The sequence below is a fragment of the Homo sapiens genome, chromosome 10, assembly GCF_000001405.40.
Source record: "Homo sapiens chromosome 10, GRCh38.p14 Primary Assembly".
NCBI lineage: Eukaryota > Metazoa > Chordata > Mammalia > Primates > Hominidae > Homo > Homo sapiens.
In genome coordinates this window covers 118,015,831-118,033,821 of record NC_000010.11, presented here as the reverse complement: position 1 = coordinate 118,033,821, position 17,991 = coordinate 118,015,831, and the positions used below count along the sequence as shown (strand labels likewise).

The following is a 17,991-nucleotide window of genomic DNA, read 5'->3' as shown; positions in this document are numbered from 1 at the left end:
AGGGCACATGGGCTGTAGTACCTTTCGTTGTGTTTAAGAAAGCCCTAGTCAAAAAAGTTTAAGAACTACTGGTTTGCAACACCAAATCCAAACTCCTCTTTCTAACGTTCTAAGGCTTGTTGTATTTTAGGCTTTTCTTAACCTTCCAAGTTTTCTTTTACTGTTCCTCACCAACCTGTTCTAGGTAAGTTAATTTCCTTACTGCCATGTCTCTACACTGAGGTCCTTGTAAGCCATGCCGTCTTCATTCCCGGGCTCAATTGTGGGGTGCACTCTCAACTCATCTCTGAGTGTTCTTTTTTGAGTAATAACCTCGTGTTTCCCTTTGGATTTCTGCTGATATAGAAGAAGTAATTACTATACAATGTTTATTGTACTAGGTCTTATATTAAGCTGTGTAAGCTTCATAACAGTTGTGCAGAATCCTCTTTCTTGGGTGCACCACAGCACCTAGATTTGTGCATGACCTCAGTGCTGATCATCAAGGGCTCCTGGAGATTATTTTTTTTTAGCTACAATTTGTTGGGCCTCCCCTCTGACTGAATTAGAATCTTTAGTGAGTAGGCCCTGAAATGAAAATCAACATTTTAATAACTTCCCATTGACTATCGGGTTTAAAAATTGCTAATCTATATTATATCACCTACAGTGGTCCTCCTACTCTATGGGGATACATTCCAAGACCCCCAGTGGATTCCTGAAACCAGGCACAGTTCCGAACCCTATATATCCTGTGTTTTTTTTTCTATACATATATACCTATGATAAAGTTTAATTCATAAATTAGGCACAGTAAGAGAGTAACAATAATAATGAAATAGAACAATTACAACAATATGCCAGCATCACTCCTCTTGCACATTGGGGCCATTATTAAGTAAAATAAGGGCTACTCAAACACAAGCACTGTAATACTGCAATAGGCGACCTGATAGCCGAGATGGCTACTAAGTAACTAATGGGCAGGCAGTGTAGACAGTGTGGGTACACTGAACAAAGGGACTGAACAAAGGGATGATTCACATCCCAGGCAGTACAGAATCGGATGGCCTACCATGTCATGAGGCTACTCAGAAGGACACGCAAATTAAAACTTAGGAATTATTTCTGGAATTTTCCATTTAATATTTTTGGACTATGGTGGTTAACTGAAACTGTGGAAAGCAAAACCACAGATAAGGGGATGGGACTACTTTATTTCCTAAGCTTTCAGTAAGTATTCACTGTGAATGGAGATCAGGAATTGTGCTGGCAAATGCGTACTTAAATTAGACAACTTAGTCATATTAGCTCTGCTTGCAGGTCCCTAACTAAGGTAGAGGGTATAGTAAGGAAGTTAGCTTGGCTAAAACAGAGATATGGTGGAAAGGAGTAAAAGATATGGCTGAATAGGTTAAACACACACACACGCACGCACGCACCTAATGCACACACACACACCCTAAATTATAGTGAGCATTGAAGACCAGGCAGAAAAGTCTATTAAATATTTATGGCATCTATGAATGAATTGTTTCTCAGGATTGAGGTAAAACCTGAGAGTCAATAGTGATGAATGACGCTTAAAAATATGCTTCTATTTGTATGCTACCCATGGTAAATTGAGGAGAAATTCCATGATGTGTATTCTTTGAAGGAGGTGTAAGTTCCTTGAAAAATTTCAGGACCACAGAACTCCACCTACTGAAGGGAATTCTGCTTGAGAGAATAAGATTGAGAGAGTAAGATTTTCTGTCTGTTAGAGAAAATTGCTTATGTATGTCTTATTCTGAATTTTTTTAAAAAAATCAATATAAGCCTACTACTCTGTGTGATGAGTTTCTGTTGTTTGATGTTAGGGGGGCAGCTGTTCTGAGAGTAATAATTTAATGGGAGATATTTTTACCAGAGAATTTTGTTTGGGGACCGACCTTCTATTTGTGACTCATAGAAAGAACATGCTTTCACTCCATTATTTTCTGCTCTACTGTGGTAGTTGTGAATGCCATGTAGCAAATTCTTAACTACTCCTGAATAACTAAATGGTATGTTCTGTAATATTATTTCTAGTATTAATTGATTTTCCAAAGCATGTATTTCCATTTTTAATGTTTGGTGGAAGAGCCTCCCTCCTTTTTAGCAGATGATCTCACGCCAAATAGTTATATTTTAGGATGGTACAGAAATAGTATCTAAGATGCAGACTTGTAATGTTTTAGTGATTTTTCATGGCAGTGTGCCTTCCACTTCTGAGGTCAGGTCTACCTGATTCTCCCCCTCTTCCTTCTTTCCTTCCTTAATGAGTCAATTCCTGTCTGTGCTTGTATCATACCTTCCTCAGGAGGTACAAAAAAATTGGTTACCTGGAATGTATATTTAAATGTCTTTCTAATTTTCAAATCACCATAAGCTTGTAAGCATGTAGCCATTTTTATGAAATTGTGTAACATGTTCATTAAAAGTCAAAGACTGTTTACTGTAGAATTTACATTTTGATTTTTAAAAAGTATAGTAAATAAATGATCCTAAAGAAAAAGAGCCTATTGATAGTTTTTAAACCTTCATTTTTATAATGTCCCAATGGACTTTTTTTTCCTGAATGAGTTTAAAGTTCAGTCGTTGGCATCATAAACCTTAATATGCAAAGGATTTGTTTTAATAGCAATATTTACTTTTTGCTCATATTTGTCTAGTGTTAAAGATAATTTGCCTGTTATTCATGGTAGGCTATAAATCTTTTACACACTTGAAAATTTGTGGCTTCATTTATGAGACAGAAGACAAAAACTTTTGAGATGATTTTTAGACCCATTAATCCATTAGTGCTCAGAGATTTACAGAATGTATCCAATGAAACAATGACTATAAACACGAAGTATGCAACGTGATTAGTTCCCTTAACACTAACTAGAACTTTTATGTTTAACTCCCCAGATACTACTTGAAACTTTTTTACCCTTTGTCATCCTAATACTCATTATAATAGCTCTCATTAATTGGTGTATCTCCCAGTGGGTTAATTTGCAGATACCAGCGATGCCATCCTTGTGCTAACTCTAATGCAAATTGATATTTAGAGTCTTCAAAATTGAAAACAAAAAAAGCTCTGTAACAAAAAAGACAAACTTTGCTGGTTTTTTTTTTTTCTTGAGAGATTGAGATATAGCAAGATTCTGAGAGAGAAGAAAACAGGCCAAAAAAATTCACAAAAACTAGTGTAGGCTAATAAACTGATGTGAAAATTTCTCAATTTACAGCACTTGACAGGTGCTAAAAGAAAAGCATCTTTAATTTTAATGTGTTGTTAGGACCTCTTTAGAGAGACTGTACAAGTTATTAACAAGGTCCTCTGAGACAGGAGACGGGTAATTAACAAGACCTATGGAGATATAGTTTAGGTAATTAACGAGCTCTTAGGCACTGGACACTGGATAACACGTAGCGAGTCCAATACTTAAAGAGAACAAGTTGTTATGATATGATCAAATATAAGATACAGCATGTAAGCCCTCTTGAGGTTTCTGATAGGAAAGTAGTAAGATTGTATTCCAGTGACCCCAGTGCACTGACTATTGTAAATCAGCATGTAAGGTTTTTGGTTTAACTTTTAAGGTAGCATTTGAGAGAATTATTTTTAATTGTTGTTACATGTAGATTAATAATCTTTGCTAATTGCCATTAATGAACATGTGTATTTTGAGAAAAATGCATTGGAAGCACATCAGTTGTATGATTCTAAATTGTCTTAAACATTTATTTTCAGTTTATTTTTTACCTGTGACTTGTCGGCTAAAATTGCCTATTGCAAATTAACCTTGCTTTCCTTGTCTACTTTAAAACAGTCAGGATCTAGGCCAGCGAGGAGATGTGGCCCTGGCACCAGTTTGGTTTTTACATGTTATGCCCAGGTTCCTCCAGTCATGCCCCTATGCTACCTTCAAGTCTGAGATTTTATATTCCCAACTTCAAATATTTGGTCCAGTTATTTCCTGTGTAAATTTGAAATTTCTGAAGTATGAATCTTGAGTTTTGGCTCAGAAAATTCCCACATTCAGCAAACATTTATTAAGAACATGTTATACTCTAAAGGTTAAGAATATAAAGAAGGCCCTTGCGAGGCTCCTGATTCATTCTGTTACCTGCTGTCTCAGTGGTGCTACTCTAGCCCATCAGGATGATTTTTTTCTGAATTTCAGCTCTGAAAATCAAATGATATTTTCATTATTATTTTTGGAATATTTGCTGTATATAAGGAAATCATATTGTTGAGATATAAATCCTGCTCTTTGTGCTCATAGAAAAAGGTGTGTAAATATCAGGTCTGAATTTCATATTAAGGGTTGGACATTGTATAGACACTGGGGAACCATGAAAATGTTTAAGTTGGTTTGTGGTATGATTGAATTAATGTCTTCTATCATGAAGTAGCTGTTGAGGACAGAGGATGGGAAAGGGAAGAAGGACTTGAGACAGGGAAACTAGTTAGGAAGTTAATATAATTGTTTTAGTGAGAGTTGATGGAGGTCATTTGGCAGTGAGGAGGGAGAAGAAGGGAACATCTTTGAGAAATATTTACCCATTATGGGACTTACCCATTCTGCTTTTGGGTAGGGGGGTATTGGGGGGACTGGTAAGGGAGAAGAGACAATAAAAACTATTCCAATGGTATGTTTTCAGCTGGTGTCTTAAGTTTAATGAAATGTAACATTTTTAAAACCCATTTAATTTAGTACAACAATGTCAGGTCTATAGTCTTTGAATCAAACTTGGGATTGTAGTCTTGATAGAAAGGTTTGAATTTTTTCTTTTTGTTTTTTTAATGAGGTGCTATATTATTTTAGTTTTTTTTTTAGAGACTAGGAATTAGGTGTTTTGAATTGTTTGAGACTAGCAAGTTAGCATGAAAACAATAGCAGCTTTTGAAAGTTTGTTTTTTAGCACTGAAACACTTTGGCTTCTTTGAACACAAGAGTGGAAGTTTCAGTAACTGGTTGTGAAAGTATGCATTTAAAGTGTTTCTTTCACCTTAGCATTGACATTACTAAATATATTTCTCTCAGGTGGTTTTGGCTTGACCAAAGCTTGTCTCTGTTGGACACTTTTTGTTAGTTTCTCACTAAGAGGATAACTTCTATTTCTTACATAATTAGCCCTCACTTCTGTGGACACTACTTTTCCAGGCTTCTATGTTTAGAACATTTCCAGTTGGGCCACTATGATCACCTCATCTGTGATTACTTTTTTCCCATGACAATAATGCTTTAACTTTTGAAATACAGGTAGCATTCCTGTATATTTAATTTATGGTGGTACAGTTACCTTGTAGCGGAGGTGTTTTAAATAGCTGCTGGTGATACAAATTAACTATGAAGTGATTTTTCTTACCTGCATGTAACTGGTATCTAAGACTATTAGGATCCAGACATTTGACATTTATCTCTTTGAACTTATATTTTAAGGATTAATTCTTGGTCTTTGACATGATATATTTAATATATTTCTATGTAATAAATACTTATAAATATTAAAATCTTATATATTTAATATATTATACACCAAACAAAATGTCTTTATGTATTTTATATATTTAAGCTTAGAAATCTTGGATAAAAGTACTGATACCACTTAAAAAGCAATTAGTTGAATCAGCTTGGCCTTCTTAGAGTATACCTTAATTCAAATTGCTATTAAGAAAAAACTGTTTCACAAATGTTGTGTGTAAAGCTCTGCTAGGGCTGGAGAGGTATGGGGGATGACAGTCCTAGCCACACCAGCTATGGAGAGGGATATGTAAGAAATAACCTATAATCAAAGCAGAATAAACTGTGTTAAACAGAAGTACATGGAGTTTACTGTGGAAAGGTAGATGAAAAGAGCAGTTCAGTCTACTGGAAATTGGGAAGTGCTTCTTCAATGGGGAGAACTTTGAGCTTGATCTTGACCATGGAACATCATTTTGTAAGTTGGGGCATGACTAGATAGACAACTCTGTTTTAGTAAACGGCAATAAAGCTCTTTTTGAAAATTATTAGATAAGTTTTGAAGGGATAATTTATAAAAAGTGACTAAATACTATTATATCATTAGCTGTTTATTAACAGCTTAGTAATTTTACCATTTCTTTTCTAGTTGGAGTCATGGAGCTATATTCTATGTCATTCCCTGACTGGTAGGTTCCTGAGGAAGTATGTTTGCTGCTTTAGGCTACCAAGGAGCCAATTAGCGGGTGTGCCGCAGCAGCAGCTCTGCATGAAGTATAATGAACTCTTTGTTACAGAGCCTGGTATGGGAATGGGGGTGTTCCAGTTAATCACATATTTTGTTTTCTAGAAGTATACAATGCATTTGTTTCATAGAGACTTTTTATCTTCAAAGAAATTAAATGCTGCAAATAATTAAAAATGAAAATCATACTGAACATAATTTAATATTTGATTCAGAAAGTACATTTGATTCACTTCTTTCAGTGAAAGGTTTTACAGTATAACATGAAAACATTGAAATACTAATAATAGGATATTCTGAAGGGAGTATAGGATAAGTATTAAGAGTTCAGATTTAGGAGTCAGGTCTGCGTTTGAGTCTCTGTTAGCCGCGTGGCCTTACTTAACCTTTCTACACCTCATTTTTCCAACTGTAAAATGGAGATAATAACCTTGGTGTAGGACAGATTAAATAATGTCTTGTACAAAAAGTGCTGAGGGTAGTGTTTTACACATGGTGCATCCAGAAACGATAGCCCTTGCTAGGATCTTAATATACAGCATCTAGAGAATACTTAACAATTGCTTTAAATAAATTAGGTGGAATTTTTTTCCAAGTAATAATATCTTCTCAACTTAAAAAAAAACTTAAATAAAAGTAGAATTTAGAAGCTTCTGGTTTTCACCAACTGATAAAGGACCTACATTTGGCAGGAAGTAATAAACTTGATGGTTTTTCTAGTATCTTTCAAGACATATATTCAGCAATAATCTTTGATGAGATAAAACTAAAACCACATTGAAATTAAGTAAAAGTATTCTCTGTATTAAGTAGAAAATTTATAAGGCAAAGCTATTATGGTGAATATTGATGTAAAGTCTTATGTTCAGAAATTCTTTCATAGTACTAATAAGGATATTGCAGGATAGATATCTAAGCTGTGGCTTTCCATTAAGGCATGGTGACAATTTCATAAACTCAGATGGCTGAGCTCAAATTAGATTGTTAAAGAAGGCAGTTCAGACTGTGATAGTAAGAAAGATAAAGGCTGCTTATTGAAAACTCCTCAGAACATTTCAGTCCCCTTTGGTAAAAAGGGCACTTGCCTTAGGAAATTCACACAGGCACTGGTGTCTCTCTTCCAACCAAGATTCGGAGGTTGGCTCTTTTATTTCTGTGTCAGAGCAGGTGCCCTCTTTGTTTTTCATCAAGAGTATAAAATTCTACTCTAGTAGTCTCTGAATTCAAGGTTCTTTAATATATCAGAAATAATATTCATTGTATTTTTAATGTTTTGTCATCCTGGTTTTAAAAAATAAATATTCTTCACTTAACAGAAAAAAATACATAACCAAAATTTGAATGTTAAGTATTGTTAGACTGTCGTCACGTCATTTTATGGAATAGTATCTCTTGTACTTACAGAGATGGATAAGATCTTATAATGGCAACTCTTTGTGCCTCCCATCTTTAGACTACCAGACAGTGTATATTAGGGTGACATTCTAAGATTCAGATGTTTATTTTTGAATTTGATAAGGGATGGAAATTTTTGCTTTTCCTTGGTTATATGTATTATTGCTGTTCTTTCTCTGTGAGGGTTATGTTGATACTCTGATACAAAGGATGCACAAAGCAAAGTCTCTGTCTTTAAAAGTATAAGCAGGTAGATATAGAATGTGTAATTAATTGTCCTAGTTGTAAATAACTGTCCTGGGTGGTACAGTTGGTAAGTGCTGATAGAGATAAAAATTATAGATTAGATGGATAAGGTTAGGCAGTCTAGGCATTACAGAAAAGGTAGAACTAAAAGTCTCGAAGGATGGATCTGTGAAGACAGAGAGGTAAAGATAAATGAGAAAAGGTAGAGAGGTAAAAATGAATGTGTGAAGTGGTTCTCAGGGACCTAACCTGCCTAAAACTGTTAAGGGTTAGAAGTAGTAGTGAAGATGTGACCTTATTAGTATGAATTTAGCATACCAGAATGAAGAATTTGCATCTAATTCTATAGAATGTATGAAGAGTTTTCCATATATGACTGATGTGATGAAAATACTATTTTAGGAAAACTCAGAGAACAGTGCCATTGCTGTTATATACGTAATAATGCCGGAATCGGAAGAGGTGCACATGAACTCAGAAAAACTGCGTTTCTAAGTGTGATTTTAGATTCCGAACAAAAACTTCTTGTAGTGAAACATTTTAATGATGTAACTTATAGAAGCAGGACAATAGTGAAATTATTGTGGCATAAGAAATTTGCAGATATTAATGTGTATTAGAGGTACACTCTTTAAATCAGTGGGCACCTGTTTTAGCTGTTCTTTGAATAGTTTATTTTTTTTCTTCACGCAGAAACATTTTTAAAAGCTGACTGAAAGTTGGATAGGATAATGTACAATTTCTAATAAGATCATTGTATTCATCTGTTGGGGGATGGCCCTGGAAATTTTATTTTACACAAAACAATATATTCTTTTCTGGCAAAAATTTTATAATTTAATAGCCCCACTGAAACAAACTCTTGACTGCCAAGAATGTTTTAAGGCTGGGCTTCTCAGCTTGGGTTGCAGAGTGGTGAAAATCCCCCAGTCATGCCAGCAGTTGCTTCTAAGAAGCAAGTGTAGGAGCCTGTGGCTTGCATCACCCAACTGGGGGGCCCCTGGAAGTCTGGCTGCCTTGATGTCCCTCCTTGAAGCCTCTGCAGAGATGGCTGGGGCTAGGAAAGTGGGTGCTTGCTGGCCAGGGGCTTCATTGCAGGCTGTTCTTAAACACCTGAGGCCTTCCTGGTAACCAGAGGACACCGTGACTTCTCCAAAACATAGCTTTGTCATAGGCCCACACAGAGCCAGCTTGGGATGCTTTTGGCCAGGGTGTTGTGGGCCGTCTGTCTTTTTTCACCTGCTTCACAGGGACCAGGGATGCCTTGCTTGCACCCTCATGGAAGAGTCACATCTCTCCACATTATCCTTACACTCCCTCCTTGCAGGAAAAGCTTGATCAAGACTGCTGGGTCTGTCTTGATCACGTAGACAGGCAGAGCCTGTGCTGGGTTTGGCCCTGCAGGTGCCTTGCTGTCATCACTCCTGCCCACTGTTTTGCTGCTAAAATGAACAGGACTTGTTTACACACACACACACACACACACACACACACACACACACACACGATGATGATGACTAATGGATACGTAGAAGGTGGCGGGCAAGGGTCTACTCAGGGGAACAGACCAAACGCAACACAGCTTCCCAAAGTGACACATTTCCTAAAGATACAGGGAGAAAATACTCATTTTATATCAAGAGACACATGATTATATTAGTAAAATGCAAAAATTCATCTGAGTTTTTAACTTGAGATGTCAAATTGTATGCTTGTTGTTGGATTTATTCTTATGTATTAGAATATTAAAGAGAAAAAAGGGTGAGAAGCTTAGTTTTAAAGGAATGGAGAACTTTTGGAATCCATAGGCTTTATGTTGAGATTTGTGGGTTGTTTGACTGTCTTTGAAATAATTATTTCTATTCTATTCTTTTTTTTTTTTTTTTTAAGACAGAGTCTCACTCTGTTGCCCAGGCTGGAGTGCAGTGGCGTGATCTCAGCTCACTGCAGCCTCCGTCTCCCAGGTTCAGGCAATCCTCCTGCCTCAGCCTCCTGAGTAGCTGGGATTATAGACACATGCCACCACATCCGGCTAAGTTTTGTATTTTTTAGTAGAGACAGGGTTTCACCATGTTGGCCAGGCTGGTCTTGAACTCCTGACCTCAAGTGATCCGCCTGCCTCCTCCCAGAGTGCTGAAATTACAGGCGTGAGCCCCTATTTCTGTTCTTTACCAGGAGAAATGTGTAAGTTAGACTTGATTGACTATTATAATAGTCAAACCAAGCCTTAATTTCATTGATGTCTTTAAATCCTCAAGTTCTAGGACTTTCACCAACAACATATTCATTATTATTCATTATGGAAAAGCAGCTAGGTCTGAATTTGCTGTCCGTGATCTTTGGTGTCACTGACCACAATTTTTAATTGTCTTGCCTCTGAGAGCTCATAAAAGATACCCCATGAGAATATTAATAAGTAAATTACTGTTAATCCCCATAGACATTTATGTATTAGGTTCTGTTTTGTCATCGAGGTTTTGGTGTACATGCCCAGTCCCAGGAGACAGAATGTAGTCTTTTCATCTGTAATATCATTAATTTGATTTGGTACTGAGTTTTTTGCTTTTTTCTAAAAAGAAAGAAAAAATATTGAGTTTCGTCTTGCCTCTTAAGGCTTATTTGCATGTATAATGAACGTAATTGGAATGTGCTAAAGATTCCAATGAAATCTCTTTAGTGGAATCTCTTTGGGCACTTCACTTTTTTAGAGCTTTGGAAAGAGCATTATTAAAGAACATTAAAAAACAAAAACTTCAACATGTAACCTCTGTGGAATAAACGTTTTCAGGATTTACCAGAAAAATCTCTAATTAATCTGTATTGTGTCAAATACCTATCCTGGTAGACCTAGTTGGTATACTCGATAAACTGGCTAATTGAATTGATTCTGTTGGCAGTCCACCAGTTTGAAAATGTGTTTTAATTCCTATTGACTTAAATATGAGAATAATTCTTCGTATCTTAAAAAGAACTGAAAAACACTCCACTAATGTATCATCAGGTATAGATATAAGTAATCTTTCTTATTCAGGAAGATTATTTCTTCCACTCTTTGGGGACTTGGTATCTTGTTGGTGGAACTTATATTGCCCTAACATAGATGTACTCAGTCAACTCACCCCGGTTTTTACACATTTTTATTAAGTACTGGTTATTAATGTATTCAGCATACTTTTGTTAGGAATTTTTCATGCTGGCACTGTGTCAGATGCTAAGAATGAAAAGAGGAATGAGATATGGTTCCTTCCTTTAAGTGGCTTGCAGTAGAAAGGGAGGGGATCCAGGGGTAAGATAGATACACAGAAGCAAACTTTTATACCATATATTTGAAAAGCACTTTTGTCAAACAAACCATTTTCATACTCATTTCTTTTAACCCTCTTTTAATTCTACGAAATAGATGGTAGCATTTCTGTTTCTTAATTTGAAATTTAGAGCAGTGAAGTAGATTGTTCCTTGGCATTAGGGGATGGGCAATAAGTCTGGAAAGGTAAATTGGATAAAATCCAGTGGACTTTGAAAGCCAGTCTAAGAAATTTTGTCATTATTCAGGAGGAGGTTAGAGGTCAAAAGTTTTTTGACAGACGAATAATGAGGTTAGACTTGAGCTTGAGAACGCCATATTCAGTATGCATAGGCTGGATTGGACAAGGAGGGATGGGCAGAGACTGTGAAGAGGCTGTTGCAGTAGTGTCAGCAGAAGACAGTTTGGTCTTATGGTCAGAAAGGTAGCAGTAAAAATGAGCAGGGAGGAAACGATGAGAGTTCTGTGGCAGAGGCTGAATGGTGAGAACATGGCAGTTTATTTGTGAGGCATGTAAGCTGAAGACTGGAGTGAAGGGTGTCTCTGAGGCTTCACCTTCGGTGCGCAGGAGATTGGTGGTATGAGTAGGAAGAAAACCAGACAGAACTGTTCTAAAAGACATGATTGGTCTTTCAGGGACAGGTAGGATATTCGATCTAAGATTTTGATCAGACATTTGTAAGCATGACATTATAAAGGGTAAAGAGATTGGTAGTTGAAAAGATTTACTACTCCTCCATCCATATAGGGATGGTAGTTGGTGGTGAGAGAATATGAAATCTCCGAGGTAGAGCGGAAAAGGCCTGAAAACAACCTTAAGAAATATCCAGTGTTTCCCACCTAAGGGTGAAGAGGAAGATAACAAGGAAAAGGAGTGATTGGAAATATAGGACAAAAGTTAGGCTACCAGATAGCAGGAAGAGTGAGTTTCAAAAAGGAGCACCCATTTGGTATCACATGGAGCTGAGAGGTTAAAGAGTGAGGTGATTTTAGTGAAAATAGTTTTTTGGTGACCTTCGTCAAAGAAGCAATGAGTATTGGTGGTGGGAGTTGTGTTTCAGATTAAAGAATATGAATGAGTCAAGGTAACAAAGTCAGCAAGGGCTACTTGGTAGGGTTTAGAGATTGGCAAAATAAAAATGGTAGAATGTCCAAGAGATAATGGACTGTCGACGAGTCCTAGTGAGTAAATACAGGTGGATTAGGAGACAACTGGGATGATAGTGGGAGTGCACCAGCAGGTCTCTAGGAGAGAGGGAGTGTCAGAGGTGAGATTGATCAGATGGGATTCTGATTGTATGAGATTTTATGGTATAAGATTTTATTGATTACTGTTCCTTTGGAAACATGTTCAGAGAAATTCAGTTTGTGAAAATGTCTTATAAATTGTAAGGCAAAATGTAAATATGAGGTGGTATTATTCAAATCCAAGTCACTTGAAGTAATTACACCATTTTACATACTGCAGGAGCAATGAATCTTTAAAAATGCAATCCTAAATGGAAAATAATTTTGAACACAAGTACTCCAGCTCTGTGAATTGGAAAAGCATATTGTTAAATGAAGGCCAGGAGTTTGTGTGTGTGTGTATGTGTAGGCAGGGTGGGTTGGGGGAGGCTAGCAGTGAATTATCATTTACAAAGTAAGAAGAGGCTATGCATATTTTGAAAAAAAAAAGTTAAAATAAGTAGTTATGGAGCATACGCCAGAAATTGAAGGGCAAAGGAAAGTATAGGTAATTCATATGAGTAATTATTTTTCTTTGGTTCTTTCTTTCTTTCTAATAGAGAAATAGAACAAACCTTTGTCCTAAATTATTTTACATTATTAAGTGAATGGTTTATGGCATTTATTTTATATTCATGTATCAGTTAAGAACCTAATAGGAAACAAATGACACACTCAAAACGAATAATTGAGGGAAGTTTAGTGGGGAGGTGTCTGCAGGGTTAAGGACATCAAGAAGGAATAGTACAGCACCAGGGACCAGCATTGCATGCTTAGCTGCAGCTGTGGCTGTAGGTAGAGATGCTACTGCAGCCCAGCAGGGAGGCAGGGGAGCGGTGCTGGGATGGGGCTGGGGGAAGGGGAGTAAATACCCTGCCTCCTATGCTTTCAGTGCTCCATCCTCTTGGAGGTGCCTCCCGGTGGCAGAACATAATAAGCCAGTGGGCAAGCCCAGGTGATACACTCTCCAGAGGTCAGTATCCTGGGGTGCAGTGAGGGTCAGAGTGGAGCAGGAGGGGCAAACAGAAAATCAAGAGCACAGTTATTTCCAAACCTGTTGCATTTCAGCCATTATTCTGTCTCTTTTAGACTAAATCTAAGACTTTTCTGAATCATTTCTGATTGGAAGAAGCCTCATGAAATTGCCCTGGACTCATTGAAACCAGCCAACAGTGAGCTCACAGTAGAACTGACAGTTTAGAGCAGCTCTGTGGAAGAAGCAGAGTTTATGACTAAAGAGTTTGGACTGTGGAGTGGGGCTGCCTTTCTTTCATCCTAACTGGGCCACTTACTAACTGTGTTACCTTGCACCTTACCATCTCTGTGCCCATTTCCTCATCTGTAAATGAGGATAAATAGAGCACTCAGGTCATAGGATTGTTACAAGGATTAAGTGAGTTAACATGTAAAGTGCTCAGAAAGTTACCATGGTTAAAGTCCAATAAATACAATTGCTTTTAGGATGTTTTTCTATGCTTCATTATCGATGAAATACACGGGGTGTTTCTCTTTTCCTCCTTTTAGACTCACTGAAGATTTTTGTTATATTATGTCACAGTTCTCAGTATATACCTTTGTCATGAAAGTGAAGCCCCAAGTCTCTTTTTTTTTTTTTTCTTTGAGGCAGAGTCTCGCTCCTTCCCCCAGGTTGGAGTGCAGTGGCGCGATCTCGGCTCACTGCAAGCTCTGCCTCCCGGGTTCATGCCATTCTCTTGCCTCAGCCTCCCGAGTAGCTAGGACTACAGGCGCCTGCCACCACGCCCGGCTAATTTTTTTTTGTATTTTTAGTAGAGACGGGGTTTCACCGTGTTAGCCAGGATGGTCTCGATCTCCTGACCTCGTGATCTGCCTGTCTCGGCCTCCCAAAGTGCTGGGATTACAGGCATGAGCCACCATGCCCAGCCGTGAATCCCCAAGTCTCTAGAGCCCACTTGGTTAAGATCAATAGGACACACTCCTTGGAAAATAGTTAATGTCAGTTCTTCTGTGATAATTTGAAGTTATACTTATTTGCCATACACAATAAGGAGTTGACTGGCGTTTGAGAAAGTTACTCCTGTCTTGCCCCTTCCCTCTTCCTCCTCTTCCCTCCTGCCAGCCAGGTGGCACACCTCCTGGATTTCACATTTAATTTGAATTCACTTCTTAAATACAAAATGAGTCAAGGTGTAGGCCAAAATGGACTTTGCTTTGTAATTCCAGCAGTAGTGGGGTTTGGAAAGAGATATTATGGAAGGTGTAATAATACTCTAAATACTTAAAAATACTTATTTTTAAATGCCCTCCAAAGAGCTTGTTGTTATGTGACTTCTCATTGAAAGATTTAAAATCCTAGAACCAGGAATTTATGGTTTACATTGTCTTATAAAAGCACTCTTAACCAGTTTTAATAGATCTTTGTTCTTATGTAGGGTTTTTTTTTTTAATCTTTGCAAGCACTGTACACTTTTTACTCTGAATAGTTTCTCCTCCTTAGGTATTCTTGTTCCAAAAGAATATATATGTTTAAGAAAGAGAAACAAACAAAAACAAAAAAACAAAAAAAACCCACTTTGATCTCTGCCACATGCCGTAGTGATTACTGTGGTGAACAGTTTTTTTGCTCTAATGATTGAGTTATTTTCTGGCCGATATATGGAAGGTTAGTCCATAGCACAAATTAAAGGACAGTTTCAAGACCTCACTGATTTATTTCTTATCTCTTTACTTATTATTTATTTTAACTTTGAGGTAAATTAACAAGTGATATTGTAGAAGAGATACTAGTGATTCCTAGAAATATTTGAAAACATTTCAAATTTTAGAATTACAGTTTACTGGGGAAAATTCTTTAATATTTGGAAATATCTCAAAGTAAAACTGTTGATGCTTTTGCATAAAAACTTCAGAATGTTAAGGTAAGTCATTTTATTTAAAATAACTTTTAAAATACTAATTTAAAATGTTTAAATTCTGTAGTTTCATTTTACATAGACTCCTTTTTAAATGTGAGTGTATCTAGGTTTATTTTGCACCTGATTAAAAACACCATTTTCCTTAACCTGTCAGCAGCTCGGCTGAGCAGTCAGACCGGATTATTCGATATCTTGTCTGACATGAGGACGGCAGTCCAAAGAGAAAGATATCACAAATTGGTGCCACACTTCAATAAATAGAGACATTTTATTTTTCACCAAGCTAATTCAATCCAGTTCAGTTAACTCTTTTTTCCCCATTAAGGACAGATCAAAAAAGGCAGCCATGAATGACTGAGTTCGTCAAGTGTTTGACACGTCAGTGTGTGAATATAAAGCAGACCACAAGGGAGGGGTTCTGCCTTTAGACTTCAGACAATACCCAGTACAAGAGCCTCTCACTCAGATCTGCACTGTGGGGAGCTGGAGAGAGTGGCTCAGATCACTCAGGTAGAATGGGAAGTAGCCGGGCTTGCCGCACTGCAAACCCTTCCCCTTAGAGTTGCGACATTTTCAGCATTCTTAGGAATTCTCAGGCATTTTTGAGCAGCCATTGAGTTGCATTTTAGTTTTATAAGCTGTGATTGGCTACTACATATGGTTAGTTTTGTGATTTTGATAAAATCTTTGTCCTAAATGTTGTTCCTTGAAAACCCTTATTGCAATAAGTATAATACCGATATTTCTGTTTCTTAGTTCAGTGATTTTTTCCTGAGACATATACTGAAATTTGTATAGTCATAATACTGTTCAATCTCAAGGATACAATGAGATGGATTATGCCACCAAATATAAAATGTTTAAATATTTACAAGAAAAGATTAACATTGTCCAAAGCTTACCTCCTGCTCTACGGATTGGGCCTGAGGAATGCGTCATCAGAACCTTTATGGGCTCCTGCCGACCCTGCTGCCTCGCTGCCAGTCTCCTCCGTGTCCTGCAGCGACACTACTGTCTGACAGCCCCAGGCCACGCCATATGTTTGCAGAGCCCTCCTTGTCTAGCCTGCCAAACATATCCTTCATGTCATTTTAAATCCTGCTTTTTCCATGAATTAGGCATTCCTTGACTAATTGCTGTGATAGAACATTTCATTTCTCTATGAGGTCTAAAAATTTAATTATCCGGAGTGCTCTCCCCCACCTCCCACAAGTACATCTCTACCGTGTGCCTTCTTGAAATGCAACATTGTTATTCTCTGATTCATCTATGTGGCCTATATGTTCAGGGCTTCCGCAGTGCAGCCAGTGCTCACTAAGTAAATCTGTATACAGGGAATGGGGCTAGGGCTGTGTATCATAGGAGGACGCAGTCTAGAGCCACACAGCTCCACCAGCTACTAACAGAATGACCACACGCAAGTTACCTAACCTCTCTGTGACTTGTTTCCTTACCTTTAAAATGAAGATGTGGAAGATACTGGGCCGTAAGACTACCGTAAGGATCATGAAGATTAAATGAGTTAATTTTGGTAAAGTGCTTAGAATAGCATCTGGCACACATTAAGTGCTATGTAAAAGTTTATGAAATAATTATTTCATTATTTTATTTATGAAATAATGTTCTATCTGGTAGTCACAGTGCTAAGTGTTTTCCATGTAGTTAACTCATTGAATCTTCACAGGAGTCTTATGTGGTAGATACTGTTGCCATCTCCATTTTACAGATGAGGGAACCAAGACATAATCAAAGTTAGGTAACTTGCTCAAGGTCACAGGGCAGAAACAGGATTTGAATTCACACCACCTGGCTCCAGCCACTTCTCTGCTTGCAAGCACCTTGTATGCTGTCGGGCCTGAGTGTATATCATTTTGTTTTTTAGAATATCCCAGTCAGATGGGAGATGTAGCAGAATGTGTTTCTTGACCTATTAGAAAACATGCTGTGAGATAATGGGGTAGGAGAGATTAATCCCACTGGACCCCCTGTTGGCTACCTTGGATCGAAAATCAGAGAGGATGGAAACCACATGTGTTAGCAGCTGCTACCACGGCACTCTAGGCTAAGGTGGACTATGTGAGAATGCTTTTTGGATTTAGTTTTTGTCTTTTAAGCCACTCCTTTGTGGGCTCTTGATGCTTTGCTGGTATAGTGACTTGAGTCCAGGACCATGCAGAATACCATAAAGATGTTAAGAAAATGTGCCAGCCACACAGGCCTTTAACTGGTGCTTTGTAGGTTTTTAAAACATGTTTCACTCTCTCTACATGCAACCCAGCTCTGCTGAAATACTCAATTTATCCTCAGGAGTTCTAGTTAGAAAAGGCGAACAATCACTTCTGGAAGCTAGTACTTCAAATCTTAGTCATAGCCAGTGAAATCTTGGTTACATGGGAAACTCTCTGGAGGTGGTTGTACATGTGTGCCCTGTACATCTTAGAGCGTAGGATTTGTACACGTAATTACAGATACTTTACCAACATTATATCCAGTGTCCAGACTTTTTGTCACACAATCAAAAGTTTTAAAAGTAAATTTCTTAAATCTTCAAAGGATGCCAGTTATTTTACTGGCAAGGGACAGATAATGAAAACATACATATTTTACAGTTGTTGTTTTGTGCATGGAATAAAAAGGTTCTTAGGACACTAATGCTTTGTGAAGGTTTTAAAGGCTAATACCTTTAAGTGCTGGGTAAAAATTAAACTTGAATAGCACCGA

At 37.5% G+C, this 17,991-nt stretch overlaps 1 protein-coding gene across 2 annotated transcripts in view; it reads left to right on the top strand.

Annotated features, from left to right (window-relative positions):
- Nucleotides 1-17,991, top strand: part of RAB11FIP2 (RAB11 family interacting protein 2) — a 42,026-nt gene that overhangs the window by 13,120 nt on the left and 10,915 nt on the right. The gene's annotated exons all lie outside the window — the stretch shown is intronic.